Source organism: Homo sapiens, chromosome 16 (assembly GCF_000001405.40).
Source record: "Homo sapiens chromosome 16, GRCh38.p14 Primary Assembly".
Lineage (NCBI taxonomy): Eukaryota > Metazoa > Chordata > Mammalia > Primates > Hominidae > Homo > Homo sapiens.
In genome coordinates, this window is record NC_000016.10 from 67,953,063 (window position 1) to 67,973,704 (window position 20,642).

Sequence of the window (20,642 nt, forward strand, 5' to 3'; positions counted from 1 at the left end):
ACTCCAGTCTGGGTGACAGAGTGAGACCTTGTCTCAAAAAAATAAATGAATAGGCCGGGCGCAATGGCTCATGCCTATAATCCCAGCACTCTGGGAGGCCGACTGCCTGAGCTCAAGAGTTCGAGACAACCCCAGGCAACTTGGTGAAACCTCATCTCTACTAAAATACAAAAAATTAGCTGGGCGTGGTGGCATGAGCCTGTAATCCCAGCTACTCGGGAGGCTGAGGCAGGAGAATCACTTGAACCCAGGAGGCGGAAATTGCAGTGAGCTGTGATCATGCCACTGCACTCCAGCTTGGGCGACAGAGTGAGACTGCATCTCAAAACAAATAAATAAATAAAAATAAAAAATAAGAGTACCTAAAAGAAGCCAGTCACAAAAGGTCACATATTATATGATTCTGTTTATATGAGATGCCCAGAATAGGCAAATCCCAAGGCAGAAAGCAGATTCCTGGTTGCCAGGGCTGGCGGGGAATGGAGAGTGACTGCTAATGGGGGTTCTTGGGATGATGAAAATGTTCTAGAATTGACTGCGCAACTCTGTGAATATACTATAAAACATTGAATTGTACACTTTCAATGGTATATAAATTGGTATGGGAATTGCATGGTATGTAAATTATATGTTAATAAAGCTGTTACTTAAAAACAAGCAAACAAAAAGGATCCAAACATAGATGCCAACCTGAATCGTTAAATAGCCAAAGTGGAACAGTTTGAGCAAGAAAATAAATAATGATAGTATTGGATTACAACCCAAAGAATAAAGTAAATATCCAGAAGTCCATACAGATATAATGACATGGCTGAATAGATAAACAGGAGAAGGGACAAATCCCACATAATGAATGTAGAAGGGATATGAGAAATGAAAACAAGCCAAAGCCCCCCCAAATCAGAAGATTCAGGTGCAGGGTCCTGCTGCAGGTAGAGGACCTGGAGACAAGAACAGCCAGGCAGTCCCTCCAGGTATCTCCTACCCTCTGGATCCCCAGGGGCGGGCACCTGTCACCCCATGCCTCCCGCAGCTCCTTGCCTCTTCTCCCACTGGTACGGCAGTTCACTGGGGAATGAGAAGCTGAGGCTGACAGAGCTCCCATGGGGCTCGTGGAGGGAGCGCCGACCTCCAGCAGGGTTCTGTGGCTGCTTACCCTGATTGAAGGACAAGGAGAAGGTGGATCTGAAGTGCCCTGGCACAGAGCCCCGGAGGACACAGAGCTGGCCAGAGCTCACACAAGCCCAGAAGGAAGCCTACATCACCACCAAGATCTGTCACTGAGCTGAATACAACAGTTCCTGGAACCCTTGCCATGGCTGCAATGGTGCCCAGGTGGATGGAACATCCAGGGCCGAGGTGAAGGCAGCCAGGCCTCTGCCTTGCCTGGCCCAAACTGGCATGGAGGTGAAAGGAAGACCAGCCTGAGTAAAGGTCTTTGTCTCTCGAAGAGGCTTCCTACTTTATAATACCCAGGCCTTGGCCAGACATGTGGGGATGAACAGCCTGAGCCTTCTGTTTGGAGTCCAAAGGGACTGTTTGGACATGGCCAGAGTTGGCCAGGGCTCAGCCTGACTCACCAGCAAGATCTCGATGGCCCCCAGGATGTACATGGCTGCTGCGAATGTTGTTCCCAGGTAGAAGCACAGGCCCACAGCACCTCCAAATTCTGGCCCCAGTGAACGAGAGATCATGAAATAGGAGCCCCCAGCTACAGCAGAGAAATGAAAGTGTGCACAGGTCAAGGCTGGTTCTTCTTCAAGGGGTCTCCCTGTGACAAGCCTGCACAACCACCCAGAGGGACAGGGACTGCTTTTCCTGTTTGTGGATGAGTAGAGGGGCTGGGAGACCTACCCAGGGCTGCACGGTGGGTAAGCATCTAGGCTGACATTCGATCCTATCCCCATCTGACTCGAATGTCCAGCACGGCCCGTGGAAATAACTGCTTTGCGGGAGCAGCTCTAGTCTGCAGCAGTGGCTGACTGGCCACCATCCTCCAATGCCCTGTGCACAGCCCACAGCCTCCTCTGGCTGGGTGTGTCCTATCTCAGCCCACCTCACCCTCCTGAGGCCTGTGCCTTTGTTAGTCTGACTCCTCCAGACCAGAGGAGGGACTGTCTCATCCAGCCTTTTGGCCCTAAGGCCCCGCACAGTGCCTGCCACCAGGTGAGTGTCCACGGCTCCCTGCCCTGAATCTGTGCTTCTATCAAAGTCTAACACCCTTAAAAGACTCAGAGAGTCATGACCAGGCCCCAGGGTGACAAGCACAGGGGGACAAGAGTCATCTCATGTTGCTGGTTGTATCTGCTGCTGAGACAATGTCTCTGGTGAAAATCTGGGAACAGGGATCAAGAAATTCTTTCAAAGAGTCAATCTTGGCTGGGCGTGGTGGCTCATGCCTGTAAGCCCAGCATTTTGGGAGGCTGGGGTGAGTGGATTGCTTGAGCTCAGGAGTTCCAGACCAGTCTGGGCAACATGGCGAGACCCCGTCTCTACTAAAAAAAGGAAATGATAAAAATATACATTTTTAAAAAAAGGCCGGGTGCAGTGGCCCACATCTGTAATCCCAGCATTTTGGGAGGCTGAGATGGGTGGACTGCCTGAGCTCAGGAGTTCGTGACCAGCCTGGGCAACACGATGAAACCCCGTCTCTACTAAAATACAAAATTAGCTAGGCGTGGCGGTGTGCACCTGTAGTCCCAGCTACTCAGGAGGCTGAGGCAGGAGAATCGTTTGAACCTGGGAGGCAGAGGGTGCAGTGAGCCGAGATCATGCCACTTCACTCTAGCCTGGCGACAGAGTGAGACTCCGTCTCAAAAAAAAAAAAATGTCAGCTGGGCACAGTGGCTCACGCCTGTAATCCCAGCACTTTGGGAGGCTGAGGCAGGCAGATGACTTGAGGTCAGGAGTTTGAGACCAGCCTAGCCAACATGGTGAAACCCCATCTCTACTAAAAATACAAAAATTAGCTGAGCATGGTGGTGCATGTCTGTAATCCCAGCTACTCGGGCGGCTGAGGCAGGAGAATCGCTTGAACCTGGGAGGTGGAGATTGCAGTGAGCTGAGATCGTGCCACTGCACTCCAGCCTGGGCGACACACTCCGTCTCAAAATAAATAAATAAATAAATAAACGAAAAGTCAATCTTTTTCATGCCGTAATCCACCTCCAGGACCCTCTCCTAAGGGAACTGCTGGGGCATGAACAAAGATTCATGTTCAAGGATGTTCATGACAACAATGTATACAATGGTGAAAAAGTGGAACCCACAGGCAGGAGAATAATCACATTAATTAGGTTATGGTGTACCATGGAGAATCCTGTTTTCAAAAAACCATTTTCGGCAGGGTGCAGTGGCTCACACCCGTAATCCCAGCACTTTGAGAGGCAGAGGTGGGTGGATCAGTTAAGGTCAAGAGTTCGAAACCATCCTGGCCAACATAGTGAAACCTCGTCTCTACTAAAAATACAAAAATGTGGTGGTCGCCTGTAATCCCAGCTACTCAGGAGGCTGAGGCATGAGAATCACTTAGAATTGCTTAAACCTGGGAAATGGAGGTTGCAGTGAGCTGAGATCATGCCACTGCACTCCAGCCTGGGTGACAGAGAGAGACTCTGTCTCAAAAAAAACCCAAAAAACCAAAATCAAAAAACTGTTTTCAACACTTGGGAAACATACACACACACATACACACGTAAACATATACACATAAATGCATATGTATATATACACACATATACTTTTGGGAAATACACACAAACACACACACACATATATATATATATATATACAATTTATGTAAATAGAGTGTGCGTGTGCAATACTTCATAAGACCCTAAGACTTATATATACCAAAAGGCGAACAGTAGTGATTTCAGGATGGTGGGATTATGGGTGCTTTTAATTTTCCATTCTATACCTTTCTGCACTTTTTTATTATTTATTTATTTATTTTGGAGATGGAGTCTTGCTCTGTCACCCAAGCTGGAGTGCAGTGGCATGATCTTGGCTCACTACTGCAACCTCTGCCTCCTGGGTTCAAGCTATTCTCTGCCTCAGCCTCCCAAGTAGCTGGAATTACAAGTGCCCACCACCATGCCTGGCTAATTTTTTTTTTTTTTTTTTGCGACGGAGTCTCGCTCTGTCGCCCAGGCTGGAGTGCAGTGGTGCAATCTCGGCTCACCGCAAGCTCTGCCTGCCAGGTTCACGCCATTCTCCTGCCTCAGCCTCCCGAGTAGCTGGGACTACAGGCGCCCGCCACCACGCCCGGCTAATTTTTTGTATTTCTAGTAGAGATGGGGTTTCACCGTGTTGGCCAGGATGGTCTCGATCTCCTGCCCTTGTGATCCACCCACCTCGGCCTCCCAAAGTGCTGGGATTACAGGCATGAGCCACCGCGCCTGGCCTTTTTTTGCACTTTCAAACCCTCTTACAGTAAACATACATTGCCCTTTTTTTTTCTTTTTTGGTATTGCTTTTATATTAACAAAAACCACAATGGCACTCTCCAACTCTGTCAAGCAGGAAAGCTCCTACGTGGGCACTGTCCTGGCATCAGGGATTGGGAGCCCACTACAGAACTGCTTGGGGCAGGGGTGTGCTATGGGGGTTCCCAGGTAGGTCAAGGCAGATACTGGGTCCTTTTCTCTTCCACCAGGCCTTGGGTGGCGCTCACTGACCTGGAACCACACCGTTGGTGGCGATGGCACTCATGGAGATGGCCGTCAGCAGGGTCTGTGGGAAGGAGGGCCTGGGTGAGCGGCTCAGCTGGGTGGGCTCTGTGGGGGCAGCCGTGGCCCATGCCCAGCCCAACCCTCCCACGCCAGGACACTCACACAACAGCAGCAGATAAGCACGATGAGGAGGGCCTGTAGCACACCTGCTGTGCCCACCATCCAGGTCAGCCGCAGGAAGAGGATAACCCCAAAGATATTCTGCAGGCAGGGCAGGTACACCCCCATGAGGGTGCCCATGCTGGGTGCCTATGCGAACACAAAGGGAGGGGGCGAGTAGAGCATCAGAGGGATGCACCATGGAGAGTCAGCCCTAGTCACTCAGCAGGCCCCCTCCCCCAGTGGGGCCCCAGGGAACACAGAGAGTAGGGGTGACAGCTAGGATGTCTCTATTGACTTTCATATAGGAAGACAGTTGAGTCTGGGAAGGTGTAAAACCTGATTCTTTTTAAAAACCCACATTGAACTTTGGAACCTTAACTCTCTCTCAAGGTACTGCCTCCTTCCCTTCCTCTCTTCTGTTAAACTTCTAGAAAGAGAGGTTTGTCTCAGATCTCCACCTTCTCACCCAGCAGGCCCTAAGTCACCCAAGCCAAAGTCCCAGAAGTCATCCCTGGCCCTCCCTCTCAACCCCCAACTCTAGTCCCGGTAGACACTAACTCCTACCCAGTCTGTCTCCCTGCTGCCCTGAGATCAGCCTGCCTTGTCCCAGCCTTAGTCCCTTGAACCTGGGGCACCTGGGTGGTACCCTCCTGAGCCTGTCAACCTCTCCACACTCCAGCCCACTCTGCTGCTATAGTAGGTCTCTGAAAGCAAGTCTAATCTCATCACCCATGCTGAAAACCCTCTGTTGTCTTGTAATCCAGTGTGCCGTCCAACTCCTTGGCTTGGGCCACCAGATGTGTCCCATCACCTCTCTTATTAGCTCCAGCCCCTGACCACATGGGTCCCTCAGATTCTGCGAACCTGAGAATGTGCTGGACTCTGCCTGGGAGAGTCGGCCCTGCCTCACGGCCTGGCAAACTCTTCAGTGAAACTGTTACCTCTCTCGGGAAGATGTCCGAAGGTTGCCTCAGGTGGAGTTGGTTCTCCCTCTCACATTCCTTTGGCATCTGATACTCCCTATCACAGTGGTCACTACAGGTCATGGTAACAGAATGTGCTTGTATATTTTGTTACTATATTAGGGCAGGCTTGGCTTGTTTATGGTTCTATCACCAGCAGGCCCTGCAGGTACCCAAAAGGTGCTTCTGAACCCAGTGAGTGGTGCTTTGGAAGCCCCTGGGACATCCTGTTGGGAAAATCCTACAGAGAAAGTGCTCAGGCTGTAGGGCAGGTGAGGAAGATCTAATACGCAAATCCAGGCAGGCTTTCTCAACTCAGGGCAGAGTAGGGGCCAGCCAGGAGGCCAGGGCAGAGGCTGAGAGCACAGAGGCTGGCTGACATCTTTTTGAGGCACTGAGCCCCCAAGAGTGCAGCCTCCGAAGTGTGGCCCTGACAGCTTCCACTGGAGCCCCAGCAAAGCCTCCTCACTGATCCAAAGGACTAGATTAGTGAAAATCATACGGGGAGAGGGGACAGGGAAGACCCACGAGACAGTGCCCGTGCTGCCCTGAAGCTAGGGAGAAGAGAACTCCATGGCCATGATCTTGTCTAGCTGAGTCACCTTAGACAAGTTCCTTAATGCCCCTCCTGAAGGGTCCTGGCCTGGGGCAAGACCTGTGAGCGACCTAAAGGACTTCAGAAGAGCCTCAGCAAAAACAAATGGCTCCTCAACCTGTCCTGCGTGGAGCAGTGCAGGGGACGGATCCCCCTCATCTGGGCTTTGTCTGAGCCCTTCTCAGAGGATGCCACCCACAGAATAGCGACAGCAAGAGCTCCCAGTCCCACCCCCATCCCAGGCTGAGTCACTCTAAGAAAAGGACAGTGTGGGAAAGGGCAGGGTGGGCCGGAAATGCTTTCTGCATCCCCAAATAACCTCTGGCAGCCTCAGAAGGTCATCAAGCCGGTGCTGGAGCTGGAGCAGCTGCTGGGGAGAGGCTGCTTTGGGTCTTGGCATGGTCTGGTCGGAGGCCCACCCTTCCTGCTTCAAGCCTTCCTTTTCCGAGGCCCCTGCTCGGGCCTGCCCTGGGTGAGGACCACAGCTCAGCAGCCCCAGATCCCTAACTTCCTACTGACTCCTTAAAGACTTGACCCAGCTCCTCCTTCTTCCATGAAAAAACTACTGCAGCTAAGACACCCAGTCACCCTCTCCCATCCTTACCCTGTGGCCAGGTAAGCTGGATAGCTAAGCTAAGCATCCTCACGGGTTCCCCATTGGGCCAAGGGATGATGGGCTCTCTCTGGCCCAGGCATCCCTCCCACATTCCTGCTGAGATGTGCACTAGCCGTTCTCAGGGGCCTCTTCACTCCCCGCCACCAGCTCCCTGGCTTGGCCTGAAGGGACAAGGATGAGGCTCTGACCTAAGGATCCTGTCACCCACTGTGGGCAGAGCACTCTCAGAGGTTGAGACACCCCTGCAGTGCTGGACAGACATGGCCAGACGCAGTTAGGGTTCTCTGCTATCTAGTCACACCTGGCTGCACAGGGTCAGGGTCAGGTCTGTGCGACCTCAAGGTATCAGCTGCCCTCTCTGAAGTGTGGGCTGGTTTGCCTCCCTGAAGGGCAAGGTGAGAGACGCGCTTCAGTGGGGTCTACCTTCTCTGCTGGCCCCACCCCAGAAAGGCCCAAATCTCACGACCAGGTGTGAGGCTGCAGGCCTGGCTTATCCCAGCCAGGAGCGCCTTCTGCTTGTGCCGACCTCTGAGAATACTACAGCCAGTGCCAGACGTCAGCTCCTCTTAAAACACCACTGCTTCCCAAACCTCAGGGAGTCAGTGTGTGGAGAGGGAGGGTCCCTAGCCTCCAAATGAAAAATGTAGAAAAATCCCCAGCCCTCAGCTACACTGAGCCGCAATGACACAGAGGAGCTAGGCAAAGAGGTAACAGTCACCCCAAAGAGAAGAGGGCTGAAGGGCCAGAGAACTGGATTAGTGACCAAAAAGTGGGACAGGAAAGCCCCACAAGGCAGCATCAGGCTCCGATCACATACACATGTCCCCTGACACTGGCACTCAAGGAACCCAGGGGGTTGTTGGAGGCTTCTGCCAATAGAGCCTTGGGCCAACACTGCGAGCAGCAGGAGGGTTTGTGACTTGCTCTGGATTGCATGACCTCCGAGAGACAACCTGGTTCCTGGCTCCAAGGGCAACACTCTTAGCCAGCCTCACACAATGTCACTGATCTGGCATTTTGCATAGTTACATATCCCACAAATCTGTCTCCCATAAAATCTACGAATCCATCTCCCAGCATTACACATTGATCTTGTCTAGCTCAGTCACCTTAGACAAGTTCCTTAATGTCCCTGACACTATTTCCTTGTCTGAAAAATGGGGATGATAGTAAGCACCTGCCTCTTGGTTTTGTTGTACAGATGACATATGAGAACCCAGGCCTGGTGTGGTACCTCGCACACAGTAAAGGCTGAGTACAGGCAGCTGTGTCTCCTGCTGTCATTCCTGAGGGGCTCCCTGGCCCTCTGCCCCCCGGGGGGATTCTCATTAGGTCACTTCTTAAAGCCTCCTGAGACAAGGCATTCAGTGCCCATCCTCCCTGCTCACTATGCTTGGCACCCACTTCCCCCAGTGTGCTCACCACCATGTGGGGAAACAGTCAATTCCATGGTGCTGTGTCTGTCTTCCCAGGTGTGGCCCCTCTGCCGCCCCAACCAGCTCACCTCGGCTGCCCTCCGGCGGGTGCCCTCCCCACTCTCGGCCTCCTCATGCTCTTTGGCGCCCTGGGTGAGGTTGGTGTAGCTGACGAGCTTTCCCAGAAGAGACGATACCTTTGGGCGGATGTCCAGCTCTTCCTGCAAACAGAGCCACAGGGCAAGATGGCATTGGGCCAGGTGGGTGCCAGCTGTGTGGAGCCAGCTGCCTGGTCCCTGGCCCTGTTCCAAGCCCTGAGACAGGCCTGGGCCTGATCCCAGTTCCTACCTGGGGAAGTCCAAGCCATCCAACTGGACAGGTGTGCACACCACACCCCAGCACGTGGCACTCAAAGGCCCAGCCCCGCGGCTGCTTCTCTCTACCCCGCCTTGGCTACAATCACTGCCAGCCCATTTGTGAAAACCACCTGCCTCAGGGGAGAGAGGGCAGGGAAGAACACGGCTGGCAGGGGGGCAATGGCATACTTCATCCTGCCTGCTCTGCCCAGCCACCTCCTGGCTATGGCTGCACCTCTAGGACTCACGCCTACCCTCCCCACAAAAAAGCCACTCTAGTCACCTCAGGGAACCAAAGAGGGCAAAAGAGTGATGTCTGGGACAAGTGAAGTCTCCCTTGTCTGCCCAAACCCTGATCTCCCTGGATGGTCTTCCCCTGACCCCAGTCCTGCAAGTACCCACATCAATCGCGGAGATGGGATCCTGATCCTCCAGCCCATCCTCAGGCGGGGCTGGGCCAAGGCCTTCACCGCAGAACCTTGCTGCTTTCCCAGGTCAGGAGGCCTCCCAGAGCTCAGGTCCCCCAGCCCCACCGGGGTCTAGGCGATGATCCCTGCTCCTGCAGCCTTCTCGAGGCTGTGCTTCTACCTGCCTCCTGCCCACATTTAGCTTTTCCCTCTCTGTCAGCTCCTTTCTGACCTACACACAGGGAGAAGTTGCTTTGGTGTGAGAAAGGAAGACGAGGGCCCTTGGGGGCATGTGGAGATTAAGGAGCCTCGGCCAGATGTGGTGGCTCACAGCAGTAATTCCAGCACTTTGAGAGGCTGAGCAGGAGGATCACTAGAAGTCAGGAGTTCAAGACCAGCCTGGCCAACACGGTGAAACCCCGTCTCTAAAAACACAAAAATTAGCCAGGCATGTGGTGGGCACCTGTAATCCCAGCTACTCGGGAGGCTGAGGCAGGAGAATCGCTGAGCTTGGAAGGCAGAGGTTGCAATGAGCTGAGATCGCGTCACTGCACTCCAGCCTGGGGCGACAGAGTGAGACTCCATCTCAAAATGAAGAAAGAGAAAAAAAAGGCAGATTAAGGAGTCTCCATTACTCAGCCATGCAGTGGCTGAATGCATGGGTCAGAGTTTAGGAGCTTAAACTACGTCTTAAATCCAGATCTCACTGCTCAGCTTGAGTCTGAAGAAGATAAAACTCAAGTACAGAGGCAGATATTTGGGAATCTTTCCAGAGACGTATCCCCTAAAGCTGCAAATGGACCAGGACTCAGGGAACTAGAGAGGGACAGAGCTGGAAGGGTCAACCAAGAAAGACAAGGAAGAATCCATGGGAGAGCGAAGAACCATGGACTTGGAGAAGAACCAGGAGTGGAAGGAAGAGGAGAAATCCTGAGTTGGGAAATCCTAAGCGGGCGTTTCCTTGCTGAGGGGTTGTAAGGAAGTCAGAGGTGAACCACCCTGGAGGTAGCAATGGGGGTGGGATTGTGAGTGGCCTCTGGAAAGGCAGTTTCAGTTGAAAGGGCCAAGGGAACTGCAGCCCGGCTGCCATGAGAACCAGGAACACAAGAGGAGATGAGAGGAAGAGCAAGACAGAGGAGGCCCACGTGTCCAGCCTGCCTGCTTAGCTAAAGCCTCTGTGTGCCAAACCTGTGGCCCAAAATGGCTCCTCAGCTACCTCAAACAGTGCCAGGTTCCTGTCATAGTAGTCAATTCCTCTGGAAGCCTCCAAGGGGGAAAGAAAAGGGCTGCTCTCTCTGTGGTTGCCATGTCCTGTGAAGAGAGAGGGACAATCAGGGCCTGCTTCCTGAGCCCCCCAGCCTGGGCCCCTTCCCAGAAAGCCAGTCCCCAAATCATTTCTGTGGAGCACTTTGGAGCTGCAGTGTCACCAGGTTGCAACTCAGTTTTCACATGGCACCGTGCCAATGCTCTTGAAGGCCCAGGGATAGCCAGAGAGAGGCCAGTGACCAAAACCTGGGACATCATTCCCTCCAGTGAAGGGAATCCAGGTGAGGGCGCAGGCGCCCTAGCACAAGCACGTATGGACACTGAGGGACGGGGCCTGCAGAGGGGCGGGGCCAGCGTTTGACCCGCCCCCAGATCGCCTCCACGCCCCAGTCCCTTTCCCGGTCTTTCCGGAGTACCCAATGTGCAGGATGCCAAGGGTTCGGTGTCCTCAGGGACCGCCCAGGCAGTGCCCTCCAGATAGACGAAGCCGCACACAGCACCTTCGGCTGCCATGGCCCAAAGGTGGCCGGCTGGCTACCCCACCATGCACTGCGCGGGGGGCGTCCTGCAGGGCAGCCCGGGGCATGCCGGGAGGTGGGGCAAGCCCCAGGCCGTGGAGAGCGGAAGTGGATTCCAGGAGCCTTCTAGGGTTGCCTAAGAAAGTCGGACGGGTGGGTGTCGGACTGAGCAGGGAGAAAAATGGGAGCTGGGACTGCTGGCAGGAGCAACACAATGGCCCCCTTGCCCGCAGATCCCGCCGCTTGCCCCAGGCAAACCTCCGCCTACAGCCCTAGGCTGATGAGCCAGTGCCCCAGCTCTGAGAAATCTCGCCAAAAGGAGTGAAATGCTCCTTTTCAATAAGCCTGCCTCAACTCCCAAAGCTCGACTGTTTTTTCTGGCCTCCTATCATTCATTCTTCCCTGTTTTCCAACTCTTGTCCCTTATGAGTCTCGGTGGGTGCCATTCCCAGCTTCCCACCAAGCAGAACGCCAAGCACTCGTTTTCTAGGTGCTGAGTGTTCCCTCCACCCCAGCTACCCTCGCAGCCCCGGCCCTGGCTCAAGGCCTCACAGCAAATGGAAAGCACACATCTTGGTGTTGGATGGCAGCAGTATGTAGTTCTGACATGAGAAGGACTGGCATGGTGTCCAGTGATGGAGATGGCAACAGAACTGTCACCACCAGCCCAGGCTAGTGGTGTGATTGGGCCATGCACTGGCCATGCCCGCCAACCTTTTCTGTTTACATAGGCCACAATTCATTTTTCTTGACTGCAGCTGAGAATGCTGATTGAGGCATCCTCCTGTATCTGATACATCTCTTGCTATCAGCATGAGGCTTCAATTGCTTTCTCTGAGCCAACAACCACTCAGCAGGTGCTGTGCTGTGGATTCTTTATCCCCCAAGGAAACTAACAAATCAAGTGTGCCCATGACAGTTTCTGGGGCAAAGTCAGTTCTTCCTTCCCACAGCATGTGAAAGTGGCACACCTGCTACACCCAGCAACCTGGACTAGCTAAGTGAGCCAAGCAGCTCAGCCCCACATTCACATAGGTCAATGCCAATGGCACAGTGGACAAAGGCAGCCAGAGGTCAAGACAGTCCACCGTGTCATGTTAAAGCCAGGCGGGGTCATGTCGGACACTCTATGATATCTGCTGTACCCTCCATGCTTGTTCAGGATCAGAAGGAGTCCCAAGAAAAATCTGAAAACCCAGTAACACTCTGCCTCTTACATTAATGACATTAATGGCTCTTCAGTGAAAAGCCTTTGAAAATTACTTTTGGATTTTTGTGACAAAAAAAGTGTCTCCCTTTGATAAATCAGGTGCTTCATTTTGTCAGAAAATGCCAGTTATACAGCTCGTCTTACTTCTCTTTCTGCTTTGGCTGCCAGGAATCTCCAAGCTAAATTTACTCTTTAGATAAAGTCACCATCTGTCTCACCTGAGTGCTTGCCCCCTTCCTCTGCATGGTTTTCAATCTTCCTGAGAGTAACAATCACTTGGGGAGACACTTTTGTTGGCTATTTCTTCTGATTCTTTTGTGGAAGTAGGCTGGAAATCAATTATAATTTATTCTAAACTCATGTACTACAGCCTGCCCCATCACTGTTGCCTGGTCTTTCTGGGTAGACTGTATTGCTATCCAGAAAATATACAGCTGAGCACACAGCAGCTCCCCACAAATGCCTGTAAATGGTCCTCTAAGACCTAGCCTATCCCTTGTCCCTTCAGCTATCACTCTAGGATGGCTCGGGGCCCTTCCAAAAGTTGTCTCTAGTTCTCACAGCAACATTCCAGTAGAGAGCATTTACTACCTTTTAGGGACAAGGAGAGTGAAGCTCAAAGATGTTCAGAGGCAAGGTCACCCAGGGAGAAGGCCACATCTGGGTCCCAGGGTCCATCAGAGCCCTGTAGGGGCGGAGCTGCAGGTTCCGTTCCTACTACAGACTCCAGTCCATCTATGCAGCACAATCTTTAAAAATAGAGAAGAGTGCTGCAATTTGGCCAGGGTACGCATACCTAGGCCTCTGGGCATTCAGACTGCGGCAGACTGGCTTGGATTCCCAGACCTTCCCCCGTGTGACCCAGGGAGACATGCTTACTCCCTGTGCGGCCTTGGTTTCCTCTTCTATGAAGTGGAGATTGTAACACTTGTTTTTCCAACTGCCCAGATGCACTAGAAAAGGGACAGTTAGTGCCAGACGCCCAGTGGGCACTCCTCGGAGTTCCCCCAAAGCTCCCAAGGGCTTGTGGGAATGTAAGGGTCTAAGTAGTGCCTGGATGTCTGTACTGCCCTCGGCTTCAGACCTCCTGTTCTGGCCTCAGCCATTCCAAAAATTCCAGGGCAGGTCTGGACATGCCTGCCAGGCTGAAGCTGCTCAGACACCACCTGAGATCCCCAGTAAATCTGAATATGGCCTAGGCCTAGGGACTGCCTGTGAGCTACACAACTGTGTTCCCACCAGCAACTGTGACTGCACCAGTGGCAGGTGGGGATCCAGGTGACCCTCCTGATCCCTGTGTACACGGACATCTGCCTGAGGTGCCCCCTCCAGCACCTCCCTACCCCCTGCCCACAGGCCAAGGTGGGCTGGATGAGCAAGCCCATCTAGGCCTCCCAGAGCAGAGGTGTGGGCACTGAACTGGGGAAGGGGCAGGAGATAGATCTGAGGCTCACTGTGCTTTGTGCCCTCTGACCCTTTGCAGTCCCCACCAAGGATCAAAATCACTCACCGGGGCTCAGGGTGTCCCCCATCCTGTAGACAGCCAAGGTCTGGCTGGAAAGGAGTAAGAGGAGGAGAAAGAGGAAGGGAGGCAGTGGGAGGAGCTGGCCTAGCTTGCGGGGATCTAGCAGGACTCAGCCAATGTAGCTCCAGGTCCCTCCAGTCACCCTGTAGGGGCCAAGGCGTGGCCAAGGTGGGGCCAGCAGCTAGGCTCAGCTCTGCCTGCCCACTGGTCCAGGCTGATCCTGGGGATGCAGCCCAGTCTACCCTCTGGGGAGAGAGGTCCTCCCAGGGTTAGGGAAGCAGGAATGCTGGCTTTTGCTTTGACCACTTGAATCAAGCTAGGGGCAGACAAGGGCATGGAGGCTGGGGCACTCACACAGCTGTCAAGCCTGTAAAACCTCTGCAATGTCCAGCAGCCCATGCCACTGTCCTGTGCTACCTCTGCACATGGCAGTCAAGTGATACACACACATAGCCATCATTCACATTGGGCATGGATCATCTCAGTCGTGTCACCATCACAGATGGATCAGAGGTCCAGACAACGTCACCTGACACGTGTCAACCACACACTTCCTACATATCTCCATCATGATCGGTCACAGATATCACAGGCATTTATCATCAGTCAAATCACCATCCTCATCACTGTCAACCCTGCAGGAAACAGGGGCTGTGAGAATGCCCTGACCTGAACCAGCCTTCACCCTGTGATACCCACAGCTACACACTTGTACAAGCACAATTACACATGCATATGCCACTACGTACACAGACACATGTCCTCAGCCGTGTTCGTGCTCCGAGGGTGGGCCTTAACAAGAACAGCCCTCTGGGGGGCCTCCTGGGGTAGGAGATAGAGAAAGGGCTGTGGAGAGACGCGGGCACCTGGGAGGAAGGAGGAGGGAGATGGGGCTTACCTCTCGGCCCTGGCACCTAAGTTAAAGAGTTAAGGTGCTGGAATCTCAAACCCAGGCTTGACTGCCCCTGGGCAAGTTATATAACCGCCACCCCTCCCTTCACTGCTTCCTAATGAGAGTAACAGTACTTATCCCAAGGGTGATGCTGGAGGATTAAACGAGTTAACTCACTTCAAGTGCCTAGACACGTCCGGCTCCATGTGAGTGCTTCACTGAGGCCCACTGTCCCTACAGATCTACACCGGCGCACTCACGGGCAGTTACCCATAGACCCCCCAGTAGGCACACTCTGGCCAGAGTGCAGGTAGGCGCAGAGAGGCACACGGAGGGGTTTGGGCAGTTGGGGAGCGGATCGTCTCAAAGGCAAAGACGCTGAATCTCAAATGAGGAACCGAGGCGAGAAAAGGATGTGGGATTCACCGAAGTTGAAGGGCCGGGAAGGGCCTGAGATGGGGTCTCGGCCCTGTCCCCAAGCCGGGCGGCCCGGCCGGCTGGCCTCCCTGGGCGGCCACGTCTGCAGCCCCCGCCCGGGGCCCACAGGGGAGGAGCTGGGGTGGAGAAAGCGGCCGGGCGCGGGCGCCGGGGGCCGAGGAAAATCGTGTCTGCGCGCGCAGGGCGGGGAGCCAGTGGCAGCGGCGCGGTCCAAAAAAAGTTGAGTCCGCACCGACGTGTGCGCGCAAGGTCCCGGGATAGGTGCGGGCGCGGGCCCGGGATGGCGGCCCCGGGTGGCAGGCCCCGCTGCCCCGCCACGGCCCCTCAGAACGCGCCCTCACCGTCCGAGTCATCCAGCTCGGCGCGCTCCCCGTAGTCCACCCAACTGAGCCCCTCGAGGTTGTCATAGTCGCCGCGCCTCGGCCCGTCCACTGGCACCACGGTGAAGTGAGGCATCGTGCGGGCTCGGCCCCGCCGCACCCGCCGTCCCAGCCGCCCGCCGCTGTCCCCGCCGCTGTCCCCGCCGCCCCGGGCCGACACGCCCCGCCCGCTCGCATTCCTCCCCGCTGCGCTCACTTCCTCCGCCCGCCCCCCGGGCCGCCCCTCGGGGGCGGAGAGCGGGAGGGGCTCGGCCGGCTCCTCCCAGAGCGGGGGCCCTGGTGGCGGGAAGACCCCTGGGCGGGAGCACTCCTAGTGGCTCCACGGCCTGGGGGCGGGCCCGATTCCTGTGTGACCTCGGGTGAGAGGCCGCCCTCTCTGAGCCCCAGATGCAACATTTGTAAAATGGGGGAAACACACTTCCACCTCGGGGTTGTTTTAGGGCTCCGTGAGATGGGTCGCGGAGTGTCCTGGCTCTGCGCCCTGGGCTTACGAAGCGCTCTGTTACTTAGGGACGGGGCAGGGTAGGCCGGACCGGCCCAGGACTGCAGAAGCCACCTGCCCAGGGCCTCCCACCAACCCCGTATACCTCCTTCCCATTTCCAGCGTCTGCATCCCATTTCTCCGCGACCCTGGGAACCAGACCCCCGCGAAGGTCCCGTCCCAGCCCTGGGCCCTCTAGCTGCAGCCTCTCCTGTTGGAGGCAGCTGGGGATTCTCGGTCCCTCCCCAGGGGCTGCTGCGTCCTCCGCAGGAAGAACACGCACACCCACCCTTCCCCGCCCCGCTTGCCTCGCTTGCCTTTTTGGGACAGTGCACTGGGTGCTGTAGCCAAGTCCCTTCATTTTAACTTTCTCTATCTCGCCTCCTGGGTGTTCCTCTATCCAAGCCGTTTACTTATTTGCTTTTAACGTTTCTTTCACTTTCTTCTCCACTGCTTCAGATTACTTATCTAGCTGGCTTTACTATTTTTTTCTCTATCAGAAAACCCCAGAGCCCATCTTACTTGTCTATCTCCACTCTTCTCCCTCGCGTGGCTCGGGTGGCGTCCTCTGACTACGCCTACTGCCAGCCTCCAGCCCTTGGGGTGGGGGGTACGGAATCAGAGCCGCTGGGCCCCGCAAGACGACCCCCGAGCTTACCACCCTCTGACCCCTCCCCCAGGGCCCCCGCAGCGGGCCCGCCGACCTGACCCCCCCGCCCCTCACGCCACCTTCGGCCGCCCACAGTAGCGGCCTTCCTACTGGACTCCCTGCCCTCGCCCCTGCTCACGTAGAGCCGCCTCTTCTGAAGGAAAATCCTACTAGCTCCGGGCCCATAAGGCCCTGCCCAATGCGGCCGGACCCCGACCTCTGCAGGCGCATCCCTCGCCACCCACCTCGCAGCCTCAGCCCTTCAAATCTCTCTCTCTCACCTGAGACCTATAGTTTCTGGGCATCACCCACTGTTCACTCTGGGGGACATCTACCTAGCCTCTGTCCCTACCCTCACTTATCAAATTCCTGATCCAGGCCTGGCGCGGTGGCTCACGCCGGTAATCCCAACACTTTGGGAGGCTGAGGCGGGAGGATCACCTGAGGTCAGGAGTTTGAGACCAGCGTGGTCAAATAGTGAAACCCCGTCTCTACTAAAAATACAAAAAAATTAGCTGGGCGTGGTGGCGGGTGCTTGTAATCCCAGCTAGTTGGGAGGCTGAGGCAGGAGAATCACTTGAACCCGGGAGGCAGAGGTTTCAGTGAACCGAGATGGCGCCATTGCACTCCAGCAAGAGCGAAACACTGTCTCAAACAGACAAAAAACCTCCAAGGCCGGCCTGGTGGCTCAAGCCTGTAATCCCAGAACTTTGGGAGGCCAAGGCGGGTGGATCGCCTGAGGCTGGGAGTTCGAGACCAGCCTGGCCAGCATGGTGAAACCCCGTCTCTAATAAAAATACAAAAATTAGCTGGGTGTGGTGGCAGGTGCCTGTAATCCCAGCTACTCGGGAGGCTGAGGCAGGAGAATCACTTGAACCACGGAGGCAGAGGTTGCAGTGAGCCGAGATAGTGCCATTGCACTCCAGCCTGGGCAACAGAGCAAGACTCTATCTCAAAAACAAACAAACAAACAAAAAACCTCCTGATCCAGGAGGTCTTGGTGGGGAGCACCACCTCCCCTCAGATTTCTCAGACACATGCCCTGCCACCCCACCCCACCCCTCATCTGGACTGGGCTGCCCTGAGCCTTTCCCTTCATAGTTCCCATTGCAGGCAGAAATGGATTGGTGGAAATCACTGATTAAGATTCTATCTATACTGTGGACTTTGCAAGGGCAGGACCCTGTCGGTCTTGTCACTCTGGTATCCTCAAAACCTGGCTGGCCCCAACACATTTTTTTTTTTTAAGATCTTAGAGGTGTTTGTTTGTTTGTTTTAATTTAGAGAGAGGGTCTTGCTCTGTCACTTTGGGCTGGAGTGCAGTGGTGCAATCACAGCTCACTGCAGCCTCAAACTCCTCAAATGATCCTCTCCCCTCAGCCTCCCAAGTAGCTAAGATGCCACCATGCCCAGCTAATTTTATTTATTCATTTCTCATAGAGACAGGGTCTCACTTTGCTGCACAGGCTGGTCTCAAACTCCTGGGCTCAGCGATCCTCCCACCTTGGCCTCTCCTAAAGTGCTAGGATTACAGTCGTGAGCCACTGCTCCCGGTCCCAACACATTTTTCAAATAAAGAATGAACAGGTGCCCTCTTAGTCTACCTCTTTGCTCTGCAAAGTTTCCGTATAGCTCCCACCCTGGCACTGCACACCCTGCAGCCTCAGGGGTAGGGTGGGGTGTTGTGCCAGGGAGATAGGCCACTAGAGCCCAACTGACAAACACAGAGGGGACGATGGGGAACTCCGAGGCCAGTACACATCTTCTCCAATATCACAGCCATCACAGGAAAAATAACCTCACAGGCCAAACTCAAAAGACATTTGAGGAGCATAGACATTAGGCCGGGCGCGGTGGCTCACGCCTGTAATCCCAGCCCTTTGGAAGGCTGAGGTGGGCAGATCACGAGGTCAGGAGATCGAGACTATCCTGCCTAACACGGTGAAACCCCGTCTCTACTAAAAATATAAAAAAATTAGCTGGGTGTGGTGGCGGGCGCCTGTAGTCCCAGCTACTGGGAAGGCTGAGGCAGGAGAATGGCGTGTACCCGGGAGGTGGAGCTTGCGGTGAGCGGAGATGGCGCCACTGGCACTCCAGCCTGGGCGACAGAGTGAGACTCTGTCTCAAAAAAAAAAAACCATAAATCAGGAATATCTAGAATATCTAGATCGAAAATTCAAAATTCAGTTGGGAGTGGTGGCTCCCACCTATAATCCCAGCACTTTGGGAGGCCGAGGCAGGCAGATCACCTGAGGTCAGGAGTTCGAGACCAGCCTGGTCAACATGGTGAAACCCCATCCCTACTAAAAATACAAAATTTGGATGGGTGTGGTGGCAAGCACCTGTAATCCCAGCTACTTGGGAGGCTGAGGTGGGAGAATTGCTTAAACCTGGGAGGTGGAAGTTGCAGTGAGCTGAGATGGCACCACTGCACTCCAGCCTGGGCAACAGTGCAAGTTGCCTGGGCAACTGCACTCCAGCCTGGGCGACAGAACAAGACTCCATCTCAAAATAATAATAATAAAAATAAATAAATAAAATAAATAAATAAATAAAATAAAACAATTAGCCTGGCGTGGTGGCATGTGCCTGTAGTCCCAGCTATCTAGGAGGCTGAGGCAGGATAATCACTTGAACCCAGGAGATGGAGGTTGCAGTGAGCCAAGATCGGGCCACTGCATTCCAGCCTGGGAGACAGAGCGAGACTCTGTCTGAAAAAGAAAAATTAGCCAGGTGTGGTGGCACATGTCTGTAATTCCAGCTACTCCGGAGGCTGAGGCACAAGAATTGCTTAAACCTGGGAGGCGGAGGTTGCAGTGAGCTGAGATCATGCCACTGTACTCCAGCCTGGGCGACTGAGCAGGACTCCGTCTCAAAAAAAAAAAAAAAAAAAGCAGGCCAGGCACCATGGCTCATGCCTGTAATCCTAGCACTTTGGGAGGTCAAGGTGGTTGGATCACCTGAGGTCAGGAGTTCAAGACCATCCTGACCAACATGGTGAAACCTCGTTTCTACTAAAAATACAAAAATTAGTTGGGCGTGATGGCAGGCACCTGTAATCCCAGCTACTTGGGAGGCTGAGGCAGGAGAATTGCTTGAACCTAGGAGGTGGAGGTTGCAGTGAGTCAAGATCGCACCATTGCACTCCAGCCCGGGCAACAAGAGCAAAACTCCGTCTCAAAAAACAGAAAAAAGCATGTGGTGGTTAACTGCTTAATGGGTATAGGGTGGGTGCCTGGGACTACAGGCACACACTACCATGCCTGGGTCTTACATTTCTGCTTGTTCTTTTTCTTTCATTTTTTTTTAAAGACAGGGTCTCTGGTGGGCGGAGTGGCTCATGCCTGTAATCCCAGCACTTTGGGAGGCCAAGGGGGGAGGATCACCTGAGGTCAGGAGTTTGAGACCAGCCTGGCCAACATGGTGAAACCTCATCTCTACTAAAAATACAAAAATTTGCTGGGTGTGGTGGCGCGTGCCTGTAATCCCAGCTACTTGGGAGACTAAGGCAGGAGAATCACTGGAACCTGGCAGGCGGAGGTTGCAGTGAGCTGAGATCTGGCCATTGCACTCCAGCCTGGGCGACAAGAGCAAGACTCCATCTCAAAGAAAAAAAAAAAAAAAGCATAAGGGGGTTAACTGCTTCATGGGTATAGGGTGGGTGTAGGGTTTCCTGTTAAGATGAAAATGTTTTGGAACTAGATAGAAGTGGTGGCTGCACAACATTGTGAATGTACTAAAGCCACTGAGCTGCTTACTTTAAAATGGTTAATTTTAGCTGGGCGCGGTGGCTCACACCTGTGATCCCAGCACTTTGGGAGGCTGAGGTGGGCGGATCACGAGGTCAGGAGATTGAGACCATCCTGGCTAACATGGTGAAACCCGGTCTCTACTAAAAATACAAAAAATTAGCCGGGCGTGGTGGCAGGCGCCTGTAGTCCCAGCTACTCAGGAGGCTGAGGCAGGAGAATGGCATGAACCCGGGAGGCGGAGTTCACAGCGAGCCGAGATTGCGCCACTGCACTCCAGCCTGGGTGACAGAGCCAGACTCCGTCTCAAAAAAAAAAATAAATAAATAAAATAAATAAATAAATAAA

General features: G+C 54.1%; 1 protein-coding gene across 5 annotated transcripts in view, besides 6 other annotated features; it reads right to left on the reverse strand.

Annotated features, from left to right (window-relative positions):
- SLC12A4 (solute carrier family 12 member 4) overlaps positions 1–15,632 on the reverse strand; it is a 25,221-nt gene extending 9,589 nt beyond the window's left edge. For 2 of the 5 annotated variants that reach the window (NM_001145961.2, NM_005072.5), the window contains exons 1-6: positions 15,377–15,575; positions 10,403–10,497; positions 8,513–8,644; positions 4,836–4,982; positions 4,680–4,734; positions 1,581–1,711 (exon numbers count right to left, since the gene is read on the reverse strand). In NM_001145961.2, coding sequence (NP_001139433.1) covers positions 1,581–1,711; positions 4,680–4,734; positions 4,836–4,982; positions 8,513–8,644; positions 10,403–10,497; positions 15,377–15,491 — 675 coding nt within the window. In that variant the 5' untranslated portion in view covers positions 15,492–15,575. Of the gene's footprint in view, positions 1–1,580; positions 1,712–4,679; positions 4,735–4,835; positions 4,983–8,512; positions 8,645–10,402; positions 10,498–10,868; positions 10,991–13,690; positions 13,733–15,376 lie in introns of those variants that run through there. The other 3 variants (NM_001145964.2, NM_001145963.2, NM_001145962.1) reach the window with 3 other exon arrangements.
- Positions 6,013–7,212: an enhancer, noted in NCBI's record as "CDK7 strongly-dependent group 2 enhancer chr16:67992978-67994177 (GRCh37/hg19 assembly coordinates)". NCBI's record gives its function as "activates an origin of replication core promoter dependent on BRD2, BRD4, P300/CBP, MED14 and CDK7 cofactors, with strong dependence on CDK7, by STARR-seq in HCT116 cells {active_cell/tissue: HCT116}" and the evidence as "EXISTENCE:reporter gene assay evidence [ECO:0000049][PMID:35650434]".
- Positions 11,974–12,145: a silencer, noted in NCBI's record as "fragment chr16:67998939-67999110 (GRCh37/hg19 assembly coordinates)". NCBI's record gives its function as "represses an EF-1alpha promoter that drives an FKBP-Casp9 reporter gene in an ReSE screen in phorbol 12-myristate 13-acetate-treated (for megakaryocytic differentiation) K562 erythroleukemia cells {active_cell/tissue: K562(+PMA)}" and the evidence as "EXISTENCE:reporter gene assay evidence [ECO:0000049][PMID:32094911]".
- Positions 13,191–13,709: an enhancer, noted in NCBI's record as "H3K4me1 hESC enhancer chr16:68000156-68000674 (GRCh37/hg19 assembly coordinates)". NCBI's record gives its function as "activates a minimal SCP1, AML or CMV promoter by ChIP-STARR-seq in naive H9 embryonic stem cells {active_cell/tissue: H9 hESC(naive)}" and the evidence as "EXISTENCE:reporter gene assay evidence [ECO:0000049][PMID:30033119]".
- Positions 14,468–14,527: a silencer, noted in NCBI's record as "silent region_7633". NCBI's record gives its function as "represses an Ori minimal core promoter by ATAC-STARR-seq in GM12878 lymphoblastoid cells {active_cell/tissue: GM12878}" and the evidence as "EXISTENCE:reporter gene assay evidence [ECO:0000049][PMID:35858748]".
- Positions 15,038–15,367: a silencer, noted in NCBI's record as "silent region_7634". NCBI's record gives its function as "represses an Ori minimal core promoter by ATAC-STARR-seq in GM12878 lymphoblastoid cells {active_cell/tissue: GM12878}" and the evidence as "EXISTENCE:reporter gene assay evidence [ECO:0000049][PMID:35858748]".
- Positions 15,498–15,827: a silencer, noted in NCBI's record as "silent region_7635". NCBI's record gives its function as "represses an Ori minimal core promoter by ATAC-STARR-seq in GM12878 lymphoblastoid cells {active_cell/tissue: GM12878}" and the evidence as "EXISTENCE:reporter gene assay evidence [ECO:0000049][PMID:35858748]".